General features: G+C 46.6%; 1 long non-coding RNA gene across 2 annotated transcripts in view; it reads right to left on the bottom strand.

Annotated features, from left to right (window-relative positions):
- LINC02964 (long intergenic non-protein coding RNA 2964) overlaps positions 1-18,340 on the bottom strand; it is a 160,228-nt gene that overhangs the window by 76,963 nt on the left and 64,925 nt on the right. The window contains exon 2 of one of the 2 annotated variants that reach the window (XR_007061095.1): positions 10,336-10,408. The exons of the other annotated variant lie outside the window; for it this stretch is intronic. This is a non-coding gene — a long non-coding RNA (long intergenic non-protein coding RNA 2964). The remainder of the gene's footprint in view (positions 1-10,335; positions 10,409-18,340) is intronic. 2 annotated transcript variants of the gene reach the window in all.

Genomic DNA, 18,340 nt, shown 5'->3' with positions numbered 1-18,340 from the left:
GCATGCCCCAGAGCCTAAGAACACGCTTGCTACAATGCTTTAGAGTCCATTCAACCATGGTTCAGGACCCAGCTTCATCACACACCACCCCAGCGACCTCGGGCATGCTTTTTAACCTTTCTGCACCTCCGTTTCCTCATCTGAAAAATAGGAATAATAATATTTACTTTCCAGGGTTGTTATGAGAATTTAAATGTGTGTGAAGTCCCTGATACATTGTAGACATTTAATTGATGGCTGCTCTTTTTCTTAATAGTTACTATCAATTAAAACTAAAAGAAGACCATATCCCCTTGCTCCTCTACCCTTTCCACCAGGGTACTAAGGCAAAAGAAGGCAAGCAGAGGTGTGGAATGCATGTGTGACTGAGTGTTAGGAGGCCTGAGATCTCATCCGATGCTGGGTCACTCACATGTGTAAAATTGGATGAGTCACATCCCCACTGTTTCCTCATCTGTAAAAGGAGAGTGTTGGGCTAGACTTGGCAATCTTACATGCAAATGCCTGCTGGAATGGGGCAGAGAAAGAAAATGACCTACTGTGGGGGCACCTGCCATTGAATTACTGCTGATGGTTGCCGCATGGGAATGCCAGCTACTGTTCTCAGATATTCTGTGTCCACCAGAAGCTGGACATCTGGATTTTTGGTAAGAAATCTTTAATTATAAAAAGAGGGTACATATGCCTGTAGTCCCAGCTACTTAGGAGGCTGAGAGAGGAGAATCATTTAAACCCGGGAGGCGGAGATTGCAGTAAGACAAGATCACGCCACACTGCACTCCAGCCTGGGCAACAGAGCAAGACTCCATCTCAAAAAAAAAAAAATGAGGGTAACTATTTGCATCTTTTTATCATATCAAACACTGTAAAGTTAAACAGGGCCTCCCAGCCCTGAGAGCCAGCAATTCTACTCCTCGGAGTCTCCAAAACACTGTTCCTCCACCCCTGCTGCCTCTTGTGCCTGTTACTGAGAAAACATATCTTTCAGGTCCCCTTTTCAGTTCCTTCCCCTACGTGCGTCACAGAGTTTTAGGGCCACAAAGGTTGCCCCCTTCAGCAGCAGGCCTCCTGGAACCCTGCTGAAATGCTTTCTGGCAAGTTCTCCTTGCATTTCCAGGATTCTCTGCACCTCTCAGTTCCCAGTTCTAGCTAACGAAGATTGATGTTCTACACTGACCTCACTCCCCACTGTGCCCAACCAAAAGGGTTGATGAAATAATCATTTCAGCCACTCTGTGGGAGAGCAGGTGTGAAAACCAGAGCTGAGCTGACAGCCAGAGTTGCTGAAGTACCATTCACATGCAGGGTACTGTTCAAAGCATGCTGTAGATATTTACCTACTTAGTCTCTGAGGCAATCCTCTAAGGTAGGTACTATCGCCATCACCATTTTGCAGATGAGAACACTGAGGTTCCAAGAGGCCAAGTAACCTGCTGAGGGTCACCCAGCTAGGAAGTGGCCCTGCTGAGTTCCAATGGGCTGGCTCCAGGGTCCCCATGTTTATAAGCTGCATTCCCTCAGGGCCTCCCCAGCTCTGCTCTCCAGTCTCATATTTCAGTTGCCCCAGGGAAATGTTTGTGCCTCTGTGCCTTTGCAAATGCTGATCACTCTGCTGGGATGCTCTTCCCTCCATTCTCTGATCGCTGGACACCACAGCTGGCCCTTCCAAGCTCTCCTCAGTGAAGTCATCTGGACAATGGACTGTTCCCTCCCCAGGCCTGTGTCTGTGCTGTGTATGTTTCATCACCACGATTCACACAACAAGTATTCCTCACTGTAAGTCCGTCTCCCTCATGGGATCAAGGGCTCCTTGAGGGCAGGGGTAGGGTGCACCAATTCAGCCCTGACTGCAAAGCAGGCTCAATGCATGTTGTTCAAGATGATCTACGCTGAGCCTCTCCCCTTGCCTCCCATACTCTTTGGCTAGTCTGACCCCACAAGAACCAAGGTACTGTGGCTGGAGGACACTGCAGTTGGATCAGCTTATGGTGTTACCTTGCATTGATTTGCTAGGGCTGTCAGAACCAAGTACCACAGACTGAGCATCTTAAAAGAACACATTTATTTTCTCATAATTTTAGAGGCCAGAAGTCCAAGTTTAAAGTGTCAGCAGGTTTGGTGTTTTCTAAGGCCATTCTCCTGGGCTTGAAAATGCCCGTCTCTTCCATGTGTCTTCATGTGTCCTTCCTCTGTGGGTGTCTGTGACCTAATATCCTCTTCTTACAAGGACACCAGTCATATTGGATTAGGGCCCACCCCAAAGATTCATTAAACCTTCATTACCTCTTAAAGATCCTTCCCAAGTACAGTCACATTTAAAGATATTGAAGGTTCAGACTTCAACATATGAATTTTGAATATGTAAATTCAGCCCATAACATATCCCAATTTCCCTCCTCCCTTCTGCTCCCCAAGACAATACCTATGTAGCTAGAATTATTAAAGAACATGCTGGGAGAGCCCTTCGTGAGCATCCAGCCCAGTCTTTGCATTTCACAAATGGAGAAACTGAGGCCCATAGAAGGGAAGTGAGTTGCCGCTGAAATCACTCAGCACATTGAGTCAAAGTCCCTGCCTGCTAGTCCCAGGGTCTTCTTGTGAACCCTTCATCCATTTACAAACCTTATCCTGGATATTCTTTGCCATCTCCCACCGCACTCTCCAAGGCAGAGCAGAAAGGAGGCTGGTGCAAGTCAGAGGAGCAGATTTCCTGCCAGGAAGCCTCGTCCCTTGCCCTGCCTGATGAAGGCCAGGCCCATACTCATGGCCCACCTGAAGCTTGGGCCTCTAGAGCCATTCAGTGGCCCCTGTGGCCAGATGTCCCGGACACCTGCAGGGTTTCTGAAAGCTGCTGTCCTCAGCCCAGCTCAGCCATGGAGCTCCCAGAAGGGGAAGTTGATTTGCCAGTATCCCAAGTGAATTAACACAGAAACAGAAAACCAAATACTGCATGTTATCACTTACAAGTGGGAGCTAAAGCCTGAGCACACCCAGACGTAAAGATGGGAACAAAGACACTGGGTATGCTAAAAGGAGGAAGGGAGGGAGGCAAGGGCTGAAAAGCCTCCTGTTGGGTACTATGTTCACTATCTGGGTGAAAAGATCAATAGAGGCCAAAACCTCAGCATCACACCATACACCCATGTCATAAACCTGCACATGGACCTACCAGATCTAAAATTTAGATGAAAAAAAAAAAAAGAAACACCAAGCAATTGATGTTCTCCATCTACTCCATAGCATTGATTTAAAAAGAAACCTGTCACCATCTCTCCTGCTCCACTTGGGTCAACACATCCTGTCTCTAGCACTTTCTAGCAGTGTAACCTTGGACAAGTTACTTAACCTCTCTGTGCCTCAGTTTTATAATCTGTAAAATGGGAACAATAACAGTACCTTCCTTATACGATTGTTATGTATATTAAATTAGTTCATATGGGTACGGCATGTAGAATAGTGCCTAGAATATACTAAGCTCTGTGTAAATGTTTGTTAAATAAATACATACATGTCCCCCACCCTACCCAATATACCTAATACATCCACAATAAGCTTTCCTAAGAACCCGCAATGTACAAAGCACAGTCCCTGGCAGAGAAGGGCTTATGGATGCAGATGTATTTGATACAGGCCTTGAAGGGCAGGGAGAAATTCCCTAGCAAGGTGGAAGGCCAAGGGGGAAGGGAAGCCATCCAGGCAAAGGGACGAGCATGGCCTGAGTCACAGTGGCTTGAGAACACAGAGTGTGTTCAGGGCAGGACAGATGCTGGTGGGATTGGAGCTCTGAACCAGAGGAGAGGTTTAGGAGCTGAAGCTGAAAAGATGAGAGAGATCAAATCTGGGAGAAACTGGATGCTGGAGTGAGGGATCTCGGACATGTGGTCCACTTGTCAATCCAGGAACACATCAGGCCACCATGCATGTGCCCCTCTCTGGGCCTTGCTCAGCCTGGCCCTGCCCCTACCCCTTCTGCCATGCAACAAACACTGAGTTTCAACTGTGCCCCAGCTCAGCGCTGTGTCCAGAATCTAAAACTGAATAGGGTGTGTGTAGTCTCTGCCTTAAAAAGAAGCACAAAGTCAAAAAGGAGAAAGAGGTGGCTGCGTAGACACGGCCAGGATGGTGGAAAAGAGGAATGGGACCCTAGACAAGGAACAGCTCCAGCTGAACTTGAGATGAGCTGGGGAAGGGTAAAGAAAGGATGATCCAGTCTATGAAAAGGCACCAGAGTGTGACACTGCAGGGCCCTTCAGAGAACTGCTATGGCCTGGCATGGCTGGAGCAAGGGTCACACAGGGGGTGCTGAGGGCACGGGACAGAGCAGCAGGGAGGAGGTGATCAGAGGCAGCAGCCAGACCAAGGGATCACATCATCATCCAGGATTCTGTGGGCTCCAGAGGGACTTTTGGAGGGGAAGGGCCCAAATAGAGCTACATTTTAGCTCAATGGCAGAGCCTGAGACCAGAACATTTGTGGAGGTGGCTTATCTGAGAGGTGACTCCAGAAAGTAGCAGTGACAGTGAAAAGAATGAGACAGGGGTGGGAGAAAAGATTGGAAAGGGTGTGTGGTTGAGCTGGTTACCTCCATGGGCAGCCAGAGCCCAGGCCTGCTGGGACCCTCCGAGAAATCATGAATGAACCTCGTATGGTTACCAACTTTCATCTCCCGTTGATTGAGGGCTGCCCGTAGAAGGCATCAACTCTCCCCTAGGACCCAGTAGGAAATCTTTTCAGCACCTGCCTCTCTCCCAACTCCGTTCTTTTGGAGTCTTCATTTCTATTCCAGGCTGTGCCTGGGCAGGGGCCGACTGGCCTTCTGTGGCTTTGAACACGCCCTACATGTTTGAACAGAACTGCCCTCACAGCTGTGCTCAACTCAGTGGTCCAAAGAGGCACACGGGGCACAGAAGCATCTGCAACCATCCCCGTGGGTAGAAGACACATCAGTTAGAATTATGTGTAGCTAAAAATCACAAAGAAACAAAAAATAACCGTGGCTTAAACAAATTAGACCTTTATTTCACTCTTTCATTGAAGAAGTCCAGAGATAGTGACTTATGGTTGATATACTTCTTACAATTCATCCTTTCAGCTGTGGAAGGTGATTACCCACATAGTCCAAGGAAGTTGCTACAGCTTGGGCCATCATCCATGTTCCAGGCAGCAGATAGAGTCAGGAGAAAGAAGAGCACGCCCTTTCCATTTTAAGGAGACTTCCCAGCACTTCTACAGGTCATTTCTGCTTATATCTTCATCTGTTTTTTGTTTTGTTTTGTTTTGTTTTGAGACGGAGTCTTACTCTGTCATCCAGGCTGGAGTCCAGTGGTGCAAACTCGGCTCACTGAAACCTCTGCCTCCCGGGTTCAAGAGATTCTCCTACCTCAATCTCCCAAGTAGCTTGGATTATAGGCACGTGCCACCACACCCCCGCTAATTTTTGTATTTTTAGTAGCAAAGAGGTTTCACCATGTTGGCCAGGCTGGTCTCAAACTCCTGACTTCAAGTGATACACCCACCTTGGCCTCCCAAAGTGCCGGGATTACAGGCGTGAGCGACCGCACCCAGCCTATATCTTCATATAGAACTTAGTCACTTGGCCAATTCTAGCCACAAGAAAGTCTGGCAAATATTGTCTTTTAGATCACTGATCACTTACCTAACTGAAAATTGGGTATAACTAAGCAATGGAGAGAGAATGATGGGCCTTAAGAGGCAACCAGCAGCCCCTGCCATAGGATGTGAGATGGGAATCGGAAGGTGAATTAGGAAGCAATTGTGGTGATACAGAGCAGCAGAGATGAGAAGAACTTAAGCAAAGGCACCAGGAGTGAGGATGGGAGGGAGGGATGCATCTGTCCATTTCTGGGTGCGGATTGGACAGGACTTGGCGATGGATAGGGACAGTAAAGGAGGAACAGGAGCAGGAATGAGTCCCAGCCGTGGACTCAGGTGACAAGGAGAGTGGCCATTCACACAGACAGAGAACATGGGAGATAAACAGCCTGGGGAAAGACCATGAGTTCTGTGGGCAGGCTGGGTTTGTGAGACCTGAGGGACAGCTGCAGGGTTCCAGTGAGTAGAGAGTTGGGTGTTCAGGTAGGTTGTCAGTAGAGGAGTCTGGGCCAGAGCTAGCAACTCGGGGGGCATCAGCCACTGGAGTAGAGAAAAGTCCTGGGGGCGGGGGTGTGAGCAGAAAGGAGGGGTGCTCCTTTCCAGTCTCAGAGGAAAGAACACAGCCATGAGTCACATCACTGTGGGGAAGAGAGTCAAGTCCGATGTTTACATCCCTTGTTGGCCATGTCCCCAGGCTGAAGGACTCAGCTCCCAACAGGAAGCCCCCTTATAACTTCACTCTGGGTTCTGAAAGCCACTTGATCTTAAGGCCTAGGGCTGCTAATGGATCCCTAATATGGTCAGCCCTGGAGTGCTGCAGTATCTCTTTCTTTTATAAATAGCACCTTCTTTAAATTCTCCTTAAGTACAAAGATAGATAGATAGAATAAATGAATGGGTGAGTGGGCGGATAGATGGATGGATGGATGGATGGATGGATGGATGGATGGATGGATGGAAGGATGGATGGATAAGTGGATCAATGGACAAGTGGATGAATGGATGGGTGGGTGGATGGATAAATGATAGGTAACAGAGAAAGATGACCTCACAAAGGAAAATGAGGAGGAACATCAGGGAGGCAAAAGGAGAACCAGAAGTCCAGGGAGAAGTGAGCTACAGCGTCAAATGTGACCCCCATATTATTTAAGAGCAGGACCGCGATGTGCCCTTTGGATTGACCACAGAAGGTCACGGATGACCCTGACAAGAGTATTTTCATGTGTAAGAGAAGCCAGATTGCAATTGATAGAGGTGGAGACATGAGGTGGAGATGAGGAAGTGGGGACAACAACTTTCTTCCTCATCTCCTCCTAAAAAGCCTGGCTTACGTGTTGCCTCTTCCACAAACTTTCTCTGAATCTCTCTCCTTCCTCTGTGGTCCCTGAGCATCCAGCTGGCCACCTGCCATGAGTTGATGGTGAGCTCTCAGGGCAGGGGTCCATGATTCTGGGCAAACATGATCTCATGGAAAGAGCACTGGACTCTTTGGGGCAACAGAACCCACTCTCTGTCAGTTCCCTAGAAGGAGGCACATCTTGACTGACTTGGCCATGTGCAGGCTCTGGGGCCCCTGCCCAGTGTCTACTGCCCCACACGATGGGACTGGGGTTATTCCCCCAGCTTCCATCCAGCTGTGGCCTCCTAGCTGGTCAGCATCCACTAAAAGACCCCCACCTGTTCTGCTGTGGTCCTCATCTGCTCCCTCAGCCATGACAAAATGTAGGAGCATCCCATTTCCCTGCAGCCTGGTGGTCACAGACATTCCTTTTTCCAGCCTTCTCTGGAACTAGCCAAGACCAAAGGCAATCTCTGTTACAAAATAATGCCCAAGCTGTTCTTTCGGTCTCAGTAAGGACCTGGCTGCCCCTGCCCAACCAGCTTTGCTCGTCACTACCCAGACCTGTCACTGCAGGGTGTCACCTTGGCCCTGATCACTCAGGCCAAGGCACCGGCCAGGGCTGCATCACCAGCAGAATGAAGAACTATATATAGCCAGCCATGAAGCTGACATTTATGGGGCACTTCCTGGTACTCATATCAACTCAATTAGCCTCACAACAGCTTTATGAGATATATGCTATTCTTATCCCATCTAATAAAGTAGGAACCTAGGAAAGATCAATCTTTGGAATAATTTGACATCTTCAGATCCAACTCTCTTTTCTCAGCAAAATCATGAGGAAATGAGCCTGAATGGAGAAGGCAATTAACACTTTTGCTGGGTGCCTTATACATGGCAAGAGCGGTATCTTATTTGATCCTTACAGCAGCTCCACGAGGGAGCTGTACTTTACAACTGATCAGCCGGAAGCCCAGGAGGGGTAGGATTAGCCGGAGGGTTAGAGATGGAACACAGGGCTATGGTCTAAAGTTGGGCTGCCTTGGCTGGGCACAGTGGCTCACACCTGTAATCCCAGCACTTTGGGAGGCCGAGGCGGGCAGATCACTTGAGGCCAGGAGTTCAAGACCAGTCTGGCCAACATGGCAAAACGCAGTCTCTACTAAAAATACAAAAATTAGCTGGACATGGAGGCGGGCACCTGTTGTCCCACCTACTTGGAAGGCTAAGGCACAAGAATTGCTTGAACCTTGGAGACAGAGGTTGCAGTGAGCCGAGATCGTGCCACTGCACTCCAGCCTGGGTGACAAAGAAAGACTCCATCTCAAATAAATAAATAAATAAATAAATAAATAAATAAATAAAAATAAAGCCAGGCTGCCTGATGACAGACTCTACCCTCCCAGCACTCTTCTATTTAATCTGCTTGATAATTCACAACTCTGAGAAGTGGGTAATGTTATCCCCATTACACAGAGGAGAAAAACTGAGGCTTAAGCAGGTTGGAATGACCTGTCCAAGGTTGCTCTGTAAGTATGAGCTCCAAGGGCTGGGAGGTGGGCTGGGGAGGTGGGAATGAAGGGGGAGAGCTGAAATTGGAACCCAGATGTCTGACTTTGAAGCCCGTCTACACCAAGCAGGAAAGATGAGATTGGGGAACAAAAAGCTTGTCTGGCCCTCAGATTGTACCATGGCTTCCATGGCTTTTATACACACACACACACATCCCATTCCGCACCACAGGCACAGTGATCGGCCCCATGCCAGCCTCGGTACCCAGCTGTGACCTTGTGACATGTGGATGGGGTGCAGAGGGTTGGGGATGCGTGATGGGTTCTTACCCAGTCTAATGCACTAAGCTCCATGCTCCCTACGGAGATGGGGAAGACGGAGTTGTCACTGGCTCCTCACCTTCCCTGCTCTGCTCCACCCTAGCCAGGCCACTCTGAGCCTGCAGGAGGAACCAGAGAATGGCCTGGCTTCTGGGAAAGGTGACTCACTCACAGTACACGGAAAAGAAGCTGACTTTCTCGTTTTCTGGGCCCAAGTAGAGGTCGTCCTTGCGCAATCCTGCCCTTTGAATCTCCTGGGTGAGACCTGGTCTGGAAATCTGTGCCTTCTCAGACTTCAAGACCTGTCCACCCTCCCTGACTAGTTGCAAAACAATCACCTGTTCAGGGCCATCACCTGAGATCCTGCCTGCAGAGGGAGGACTTCCAGCTCCTGCTCAGGTTCCTGAGAAGGAGATCCATTTCCCACTGGGAATGACAGCGGCCAGCACCTGATGCCTTTGACCCCACCACATGTTGCTGTCCCTTCCTTCCCAAACACTGAGAGTGGCCTGTTCCCAGGAAAGGGAGGGCACCTGCCTCACCTGGGGGAAAGATCTGTAGAACCACTCCAGAAAAAATCTAAATCAACCCAAATGCTTTGGGACACCCATCTTGCCCCAAGTCAACTGTAGTGGGGTGGTAGTAGAGTCAGACAGATGTGGATTCAAATTTTGGCACCACCAAATTGCCGTGTGACTTTGGGGGCCTTCATCTCTCTGGGCCTCAGTTTTCTCCCCTGTAAAATGATTTGGTTATTATGAATGTTGACACAATAATATCTCTTAGGATTCCATGTAAACTGAAGAAAACAGTATGTGAGAAAATGTCTTGTACTGTGTAATCCCCACTCTCCATTCACCGCTACCACTTTCAATTCTGTGATCCTACAGTCTCCTACAAGCCCCACGTCCAGGCTCAGCAGCCCCAGTGGTCCATGACTCCCACCTGGTACTATGGACACAGGCCTTTCCAACCTTCCATTGTTGGCAATTTACTGCTCTCCTGCTTGGGACAAATTCCTTTCTCCACTACATCCAATCCCTTTTCAGGATCATAAGCCTCAGAGAAAGAATTTCAGCTGATGTGTCAAAGTCAGCAAGGCTTGGGGAGGCTCTCTGGCCCGTACAGAGTCACACAGCAAGCTAGCAGCAAGTCCAACCTGGACCCAGGCCTCACAACCTGGGCTCCTTCTGCATTGCTGACCCCTAGACCTATACAGAGTCTGCCTTTCAACAACTGGAGATTTCTAGGTCCCTGATTCAGAAAGAAGGCCTGGCTGGCACCCCAGTCTGCACGGAGGTTCCTTAGGGGTCTATCAGATGCCAGCTGGAACTGTAAACAGTTACGAACTTTCATTTCCATCTCTAATTCTTTGTAAACTTGAGAAATTCTAGCAAAGACAAGCAACACCTCACTACCCCCTTGACTGATGGTCATGGAGTCCACAGAGCTCTTCTTCCACCCGCCTCTGGTCTGCAAATGTAAAACATGGAGAATGCCTGCTGAACAAAGTGGCGAGATGAAGTGCAGGGAAGGTGGCCAGCTTACTTGGGTCACAGGGGTAGTGTGAAGGAGGCCAGGGTGAACTTCCTCTCCGTTCCATCTGCTTCGATGGGCAAGGCTGGACATGCAGAGATGAGATAAGAAGAGAAAATGCTTTGAGCTCTTGGACCCCCCAAGCATCCTCCCTAGAAGAGATCACTTTACCAAGCAGCCTTTTCTGTCCCTTCACTGAACCCTAGAAACCAGAGAAATCAAGGACTTACGTTCTACCTTACATTCAATCATATGTTTGATTTCACAAACACTGAGACCCTCCAACAGCAGAATAACCAGAGGACCATTTTTAACAGGCAGATCCTGGCCCCAGCCCAGATCCACAGGCTCAGAATTTCCCAGGGGTGGAGTTCCAAGTATGTCTATTCCTGAGAAGGGTGGTTCTAATGCCGAGCCAGGGCTGGAAACCATCAAATCTAAAATTAATCATAGGAGATGAATACCGAACACATTCTAGGTGCCAAGCAATGCCACCATGGTTAGCCTTGCCACAGCCAGCAAAGTGGGTTTTCTCAGCTCCATTTTATCATGAGGAAGGGGGAAAGGAGCATATGCTCAAGGAGGCTAAGGGGTTTCCTGAGCCACAGTGGAACCCTGTGTGGTCAGAGGCAGAACCCGCGTATGAATCTGGGTCTTTCTGACTTCAAAGCCCAGCCTTTCCTGTACCTCTCTCTGCCCACCCTTACTACGTGAGACATCCTGTGCTAACAGACCCTAAAGATATGAGACAAGTTAGACTCATGCCTGGTCCAGGAACTGACATCCAAATGGGGGCATCTGACACATAGACAGTTAACTCTGCCACAAAGCTGCCTGAGAGGCTCCAAGGGTTATGAGTCCAGTAGTGGTATGTTAGTAGTCCAGTGGAATGGCCAGGGAAAGCTTCTCAAAGAGGTGATCTTTGAACTGGGTCTTGAAAGATACCATGGCATGTCCACCTGTCACCTGACCAACCATGTATCTGACCTATGTACCTATGCCATGTCATGCACTGGGCTTCGTCCTAAGGATAGGAAGGCAAACAGGACATGGCCCTGCCCTCAGCATGCTCAGAGTCTAGTGTTCTGAGTCCTCCAGACCTTTCATCCCTCCCCCTCCCTCAGGTCCTTCCTCCTCCACCTCCTCCTCTCTTCACCACCCCCACCCAGCCCCTCTGCTTCCCGTGGTGTGGCTAGCTCCCATAGACCTGTATGTCAGAGCACCCTTTATAGTGAGCCAAGCCTTCTTGGTCACCCATGAAATGGGGGTGCTCCAGGTGCAGTGCTCAAGGAGGAGAGAGTCACATGGGCCCCACCCAGGCTGCACAAAGGGATGAGCTCCAGAGGCGCAGTGTGAGTCACAGTACACAGGCACCTGAGAAATGGGGATAATCAGACTGACTTCCCTGAGAAGTCAGAAAGAGAGATGAGATAAGAATGGAAAGTGCTTTGAGCTCCTCAGAAGAAAGACGCTATCAACAGATCCAGGGTATTATTACCACCGCCATTACCTGCCTCCATTAAAGGGACACACATCTGACTACATGAGAAATCATTAACTTGTCCTGCAACCCACACATTTTTGTATTTTTCATATAATTTCCTTTTTACTATTAACAGATAAGCCTGTGAAACACTCCTCGAGCCATTCAAGCATGTTAATACCCCTCTTCAGGCTGGGTGGGGTCTCCTCCTTCCCATACCCCTAGGAAAGAGTGCAGCTCAGGGAAAAGAGGCTGGGCCTCCCATGACTCCCCCAGCTCCCTGGTCCAGCTTCCCCCTCAGAGCTCTGGAACCACATCTCGACCCCGATTTCATTGTCCAAATTCTCCCTCTCCTGGGTCCTTCGTACCTTTCCTTGCTTCACCTACTTGCATACATCTGCCTTATCTATCCTTCGATTACGTGCATGAATAATTTAGTGAATGCCTACTGGGTGCCAGACATTGGGGAAACAAAGATTAAGTTGGACACAGTCCTTGCCTTCAAGCAGACAAGTACACAGGCTATTCATTCATTCACCCAACAAGCTCTGAGAATTTTACTACGTGTGAGACTCCATGCTGAGAATGCAGACCAGTGAGATAAACACACGTTCCTGCCCCCAGGAAACTCACACCTGTGTGTGGAGACTGACCCCAAAAACAACCACAGAAACACACACTGAGGTGTACTATAATAAAGGAACACCCCTGAGTCCTGGGGAAACGTGACAGAAGAGGAATCATTCTTTAGCCTTAGAGTGGGGATGGCAGGTCATCATGACTGGCTAGAGGAGGTCTCACAGAGAAAATAGGACATAAGCCAGGTCTTAAGGTGCTAGGGAAGAAAGGGCATTGCAGGCAGAGGGAAGAGCATGAGCAAATGTGGAGGAAAGAAAAAATAGGTATGCTCAGGTCATGGGGAGGAGTCCAATATGGCTGGGGAGTTCAGGGAATTGGGAAGAGGCATAGACATAAGGCTGAGTACAGAGTGAGCAGCAGATTGTGTACAGCCTCGTATTCCATGACTATAATTACAGGCCGCATCTATGGAACTAACCACGAGTAGCCAGGTGTAAGATGTTTTCTTTGTAGTAACATGTAAATCTCACCACACCCCTAGGAGGCAGCACAGTTATGATCCTCTTTATATATGGAGATGCTGAGATATACAGCCTTCAGATGCCCAGCTAGTAAGAGGAGCAGCAGGCTCAGAGGAGCCTTGGCTCTCAATGCCAAAATCAGGGGTTTGTTTGCAAACGGAAGTAGAGGGTTTTAGGCAGAGGAGGATGTAGAGCAGGTTTCTCCAGGTAAATAGAGGGATTGGAGGTGGGGACGTGATGAGGGTAGGGGGCACTTCAAGTGGGAGTAAGAAGGTGCAATTCCTGAGCGGAGGCTAGAAAAGCAGGAAGGCTCCCAGAGGAGGCCTCAACCTCCTCCACAAACATCAGGGGTCAGCACAGAGTGCAGCTGCAAAGGAAAGAGCTGGAAACAACCTTACAGAAAGTCCTCTGGTGGGTACCACATCTCTTACTTAGACATTCATCCCTTCATCTGATAAAAGCACGGTGGTTCTCCATTGAAGAGCACCATCCCCTTCTACCCCATTCTAATCCACAGAGTTTGAAAGGGCTGACCCTGCCTGCTCTCCTACCCTTCATAACCCCTGGCCACTATGGGCACATGACCAAAGCCTGGCCAATCAAAACCTTCCACCCACCCGTGGGCACACAACCAAGGCCTGACCAATCAGAACCTTCCACTCACCTGTGGGCACATGACCAAGGCCTGGCCAATCAGAAACTTCCACCTATCTGAAGCCTGCCGGACTCAATTCTGGGACTTTAGCTAGGAGAGGGAAGACACTTGAAATCCCTGGATCCAACGAGAACTGAAGTTGTCTTATCCCGGAACTTCACAGTTAACAAGAACCAATAACGCCCCTTTCCTGAAGAAGCTTATTTGTGTTTCTGACACTAGCAACCAATATAATCCTCTTTGTTTCCCACGTGGGCTGACTGGAACCCATGAATGATTGGAACATGAATGGTTTGCTCAGACCACACAGCGGGTCTTCTTGATACAGTGCTTTCTCCACTAATGCAATGAGTCGTCTAGGGCGACTGAGAGTGAAAGATAGTCCCCACTTCAATCTGGGACCTTGGATCTTTCCTGCTTTATCTGCAAACATGGTCTCCCACAAACTCCAATATTCTGGAGGGCCCTGTATTTTATTTGCCTTATCCAGCTACCACCCGTACCATCGTTTGCTAATGTCTTTAAATCAACCCAGTTTTTTAATGTAAATGGACTTTTTCAAATTAAATTTTGTATCACTATCAAATAGAAATGTAGTATCATTTGCCATGAAAATGCAGAGGCAATCAAAACACCCACAGTGTTAATTGAGTTAAGGCTAGATAGATTCCATTGTCTCAGACTTATCCTGTCTTTGTTAGAGAGAGAGATTTGTGAGTGGTTTTTTTTTTTTTTTTTTTTTTTTTTTTTTTTTTTTATTATACTCTAAGTTTTAGGGTACATGTGCACATTGTGCAGGTTAGTTACATATGTATACATGTGCCATGCTGGTGCGCTGCACCCACTAATGTGTCATCTAGCATTAGGTATATCTCCCAATGCTATCCCTCCCCCCTCCCCCGACCCCACCACAGTCCCCAGAGTGTGATATTCCCCTTCCTGTGTCCATGTGATCTCATTGTTCAATTCCCACCTATGAGTGAGAATATGCGGTGTTTGGTTTTTTGTTCTTGCGATAGTTTACTGAGAATGATGGTTTCCAATTTCATCCATGTCCCTACAAAGGATATGAACTCATCATTTTTTATGGCTGCATAGTATTCCATGGTGTATATGTGCCACATTTTCTTAATCCAGTCTATCATTGTTGGACATTTGGGTTGGTTCCAAGTCTTTGCTATTGTGAATAGTGCCGCAATAAACATACGTGTGCATGTGTCTTTATAGCAGCATGATTTAAACTCATTTGGGTATATACCCAGTAATGGGATGGCTGGGTCAAATGGTATTTCTAGTTCTAGATCCCTGAGGAATCGCCACACTGACTTCCACAATGGTTGAACTAGTTTACAGTCCCACCAACAGTGTAAAAGTGTTCCTATTTCTCCACATCCTCTCCAGCACCTGTTGTTTCCTGACTTTTTAATGATTGCCATTCTAACTGGTGTGAGATGATATCTCATAGTGGTTTTGATTTGCATTTCTCTGATGGCCAGTGATGATGAGCATTTCTTCATGTGTTTTTTGGCTGCATAAATGTCTTCTTTTGAGAAGTGTCTGTTCATGTCCTTCGCCCACTTTTTGATGGGGTTGTTTGTTTTTTTCTTGTAAATTTGTTTGAGTTCATTGTAGATTCTGGATATTAGCCCTTTGTCAGATGAGTAGGTTGCAAAAATTTTCTCCCATGTTGTAGGTTGCCTGTTCACTCTGATGGTAGTTTCTTTTGCTGTGCAGAAGCTCTTTAGTTTAATTAGATCCCATTTGTCAATTTTGTCTTTTGTTGCCATTGCTTTTGGTGTTTTGGACATGAAGTCCTTGCCCACGCCTATGTCCTGAATGGTAATGCCTAGGTTTTCTTCTAGGGTTTTTATGGTTTTAGGTTTAACGTTTAAATCTTTAATCCATCTTGAATTGATTTTTGTATAAGGTGTAAGGAAGGGATCCAGTTTCAGCTTTCTACATATGGCTAGCCAGTTTTCCCAGCACCATTTATTAAATAGGGAATCCTTTCCCCATTGCTTGTTTTTCTCAGGTTTGTCAAAGATCAGATAGTTGTAGATATGCGGCATTATTTCTGAGGGCTCTGTTCTGTTCCATTGATCTATATCTCTGTTTTGGTACCAGTACCATGCTGTTTTGGTTACTGTAGCCTTGTAGTATAGTTTGAAGTCAGGTAGTGTGATGCCTCCAGCTTTGTTCTTTTGGCTTAGGATTGACTTGGCAATGCGGGCTCTTTTTTGGTTCCATATGAACTTTAAAGTAGTTTTTTCCAATTCTGTGAAGAAAGTCATTGGTAGCTTGATGGGGATGGCATTGAATCTGTAAATTACCTTGGGCAGTATGGCCATTTTCACGATATTGATTCTTCCTACCCATGAGCATGGAATGTTCTTCCATTTGTTTGTCTCCTCTTTTATTTCCTTGAGCAGTGGTTTGTAGTTCTCCTTGAAGAGGTCCTTCACATCCCTTGTAAGTTGGATTCCTAGGTATTTTATTCTCTTTGAAGCAATTGTGAATGGGAGTTCACCCATGATTTGGCTCTCTGTTTGTCTGTTGTTGGTGTATAAGAATGCTTGTGATTTTTGTACATTGATTTTGTATCCTGAGACTTTGCTGAAGTTGCTTATCAGCTTAAGGAGATTTTGGGCTGAGACGATGGGGTTTTCTAGATAAACAATCATGTCGTCTGCAAACAGGGACAATTTGACTTCCTCTTTTCCTAATTGAATACCCTTTATTTCCTTCTCCTGCCTGATTGCCCTGGCCAGAACTTCCAACACTATGTTGAATAGGAGCGGTGAGAGAGGGCATCCCTGTCTTGTGCCGGTTTTCAAAGGGAATGCTTCCAGTTTTTGCCCATTCAGTATGATATTGGCTGTGGGTTTGTCATAGATAGCTCTTATTATTTTGAAATACGTCCCATCAATACCTAATTTATTGAGAGTTTTTAGCATGAAGGGTTGTTGAATTTTGTCAAAGGCTTTTTCTGCATCTATTGAGATAATCATGTGGTTTTTGTCTTTGGCTCTGTTTATATGCTGGATTACATTTATTGATTTGCGTATATTGAACCAGCCTTGCATCCCAGGGATGAAGCCCACTTGATCATGGTGGATAAGCTTTTTGATGTGCTGCTGGATTCGGTTTGCCAGTATTTTATTGAGGATTTTTGCATCAATGTTCATCAAGGATATTGGTCTAAAATTCTCTTTTTTGGTTGTGTCTCTGCCCGGCTTTGGTATCAGAATGATGCTGGCCTCATAAAATGAGTTAGGGAGGATTCCCTCTTTTTCTATTGATTGGAATAGTTTCAGAAGGAATGGTACCAGTTCCTCCTTGTACCTCTGGTAGAATTCGGCTGTGAATCCATCTGGTCCTGGACTCTTTTTGGTTGGTAAACTATTGATTATTGCCACAATTTCAGAGCCTGTTATTGGTCGATTCAGAGATTCAACTTCTTCCTGGTTTAGTCTTGGGAGAGTGTATGTGTCGAGGAATGTATCCATTTCTTCTAGATTTTCTAGTTTATTTGCGTAGAGGTGTTTGTAGTATTCTCTGATGGTAGTTTGTATTTCTGTGGGATCGGTGGTGATATCCCCTTTATCATTTTTTATTGTGTCTATTTGATTCTTCTCTCTTTTTTTCTTTATTAGTCTTGCTAGCGGTCTATCAATTTTGTTGATCCTTTCAAAAAACCAGCTCCTGGATTCATTGATTTTTTGAAGGGTTTTTTGTGTCTCTATTTCCTTCAGTTCTGCTCTGATTTTAGTTATTTCTTGCCTTCTGCTAGCTTTTGAATGTGTTTGCTCTTGCTTTTCTAGTTCTTTTAATTGTGATGTTAGGGTGTCAATTTTGGATCTTTCCTGCTTTCTCTTGTAGGCATTTAGTGCTATAAATTTCCCTCTACACACTGCTTTGAATGCGTCCCAGAGATTCTGGTATGTGGTGTCTTTGTTCTCGTTGGTTTCAAAGAACATCTTTATTTCTGCCTTCATTTCGTTATGTACCCAGTAGTCATTCAGGAGCAGGTTGTTCAGTTTCCATGTAGTTGAGCGGCTTTGAGTGAGATTCTTAATCCTGAGTTCTAGTTTGATTGCACTGTGGTCTGAGAGATAGTTTGTTATAATTTCTGTTCTTTTACATTTGCTGAGGAGAGCTTTACTTCCAACTATGTGGTCAATTTTGGAATAGGTGTGGTGTGGTGCTGAAAAAAATGTATATTCTGTTGATTTGGGGTGGAGAGTTCTGTAGATGTCTATTAGGTCTGCTTGGTGCAGAGCTGAGTTCAATTCCTGGGTATCCTTGTTGACTTTCTGTCTCGTTGATCTGTCTAATGTTGACAGTGGGGTGTTAAAGTCTCCCATTATTAATGTGTGGGAGTCTAAGTCTCTTTGTAGGTCACTGAGGACTTGCTTTATGAATCTGGGTGCTCCTGTATTGGGTGCATAAATATTTAGGATAGTTAGCTCCTCTTGTTGAATTGATCCCTTTACCATTATGTAATGGCCTTCTTTGTCTCTTTTGATCTTTGTTGGTTTAAAGTCTGTTTTATCAGAGACTAGGATTGCAACCCCTGCCTTTTTTTGTTTTCCATTGGCTTGGTAGATCTTCCTCCATCCTTTTATTTTGAGCCTATGTGTGTCTCTGCACGTGAGATGGGTTTCCTGAATACAGCACACTGATGGGTCTTGACTCTTTATCCAACTTGCCAGTCTGTGTCTTTTAATTGCAGAATTTAGTCCATTTATATTTAAAGTTAATATTGTTATGTGTGAATTT

Source organism: Homo sapiens, chromosome 8, assembly GCF_000001405.40.
Source record: "Homo sapiens chromosome 8, GRCh38.p14 Primary Assembly".
In the NCBI taxonomy this organism is placed as follows: Eukaryota; Metazoa; Chordata; class Mammalia; order Primates; family Hominidae; genus Homo; species Homo sapiens.
This window is presented reverse-complemented; position numbering and strand designations above follow the sequence as displayed.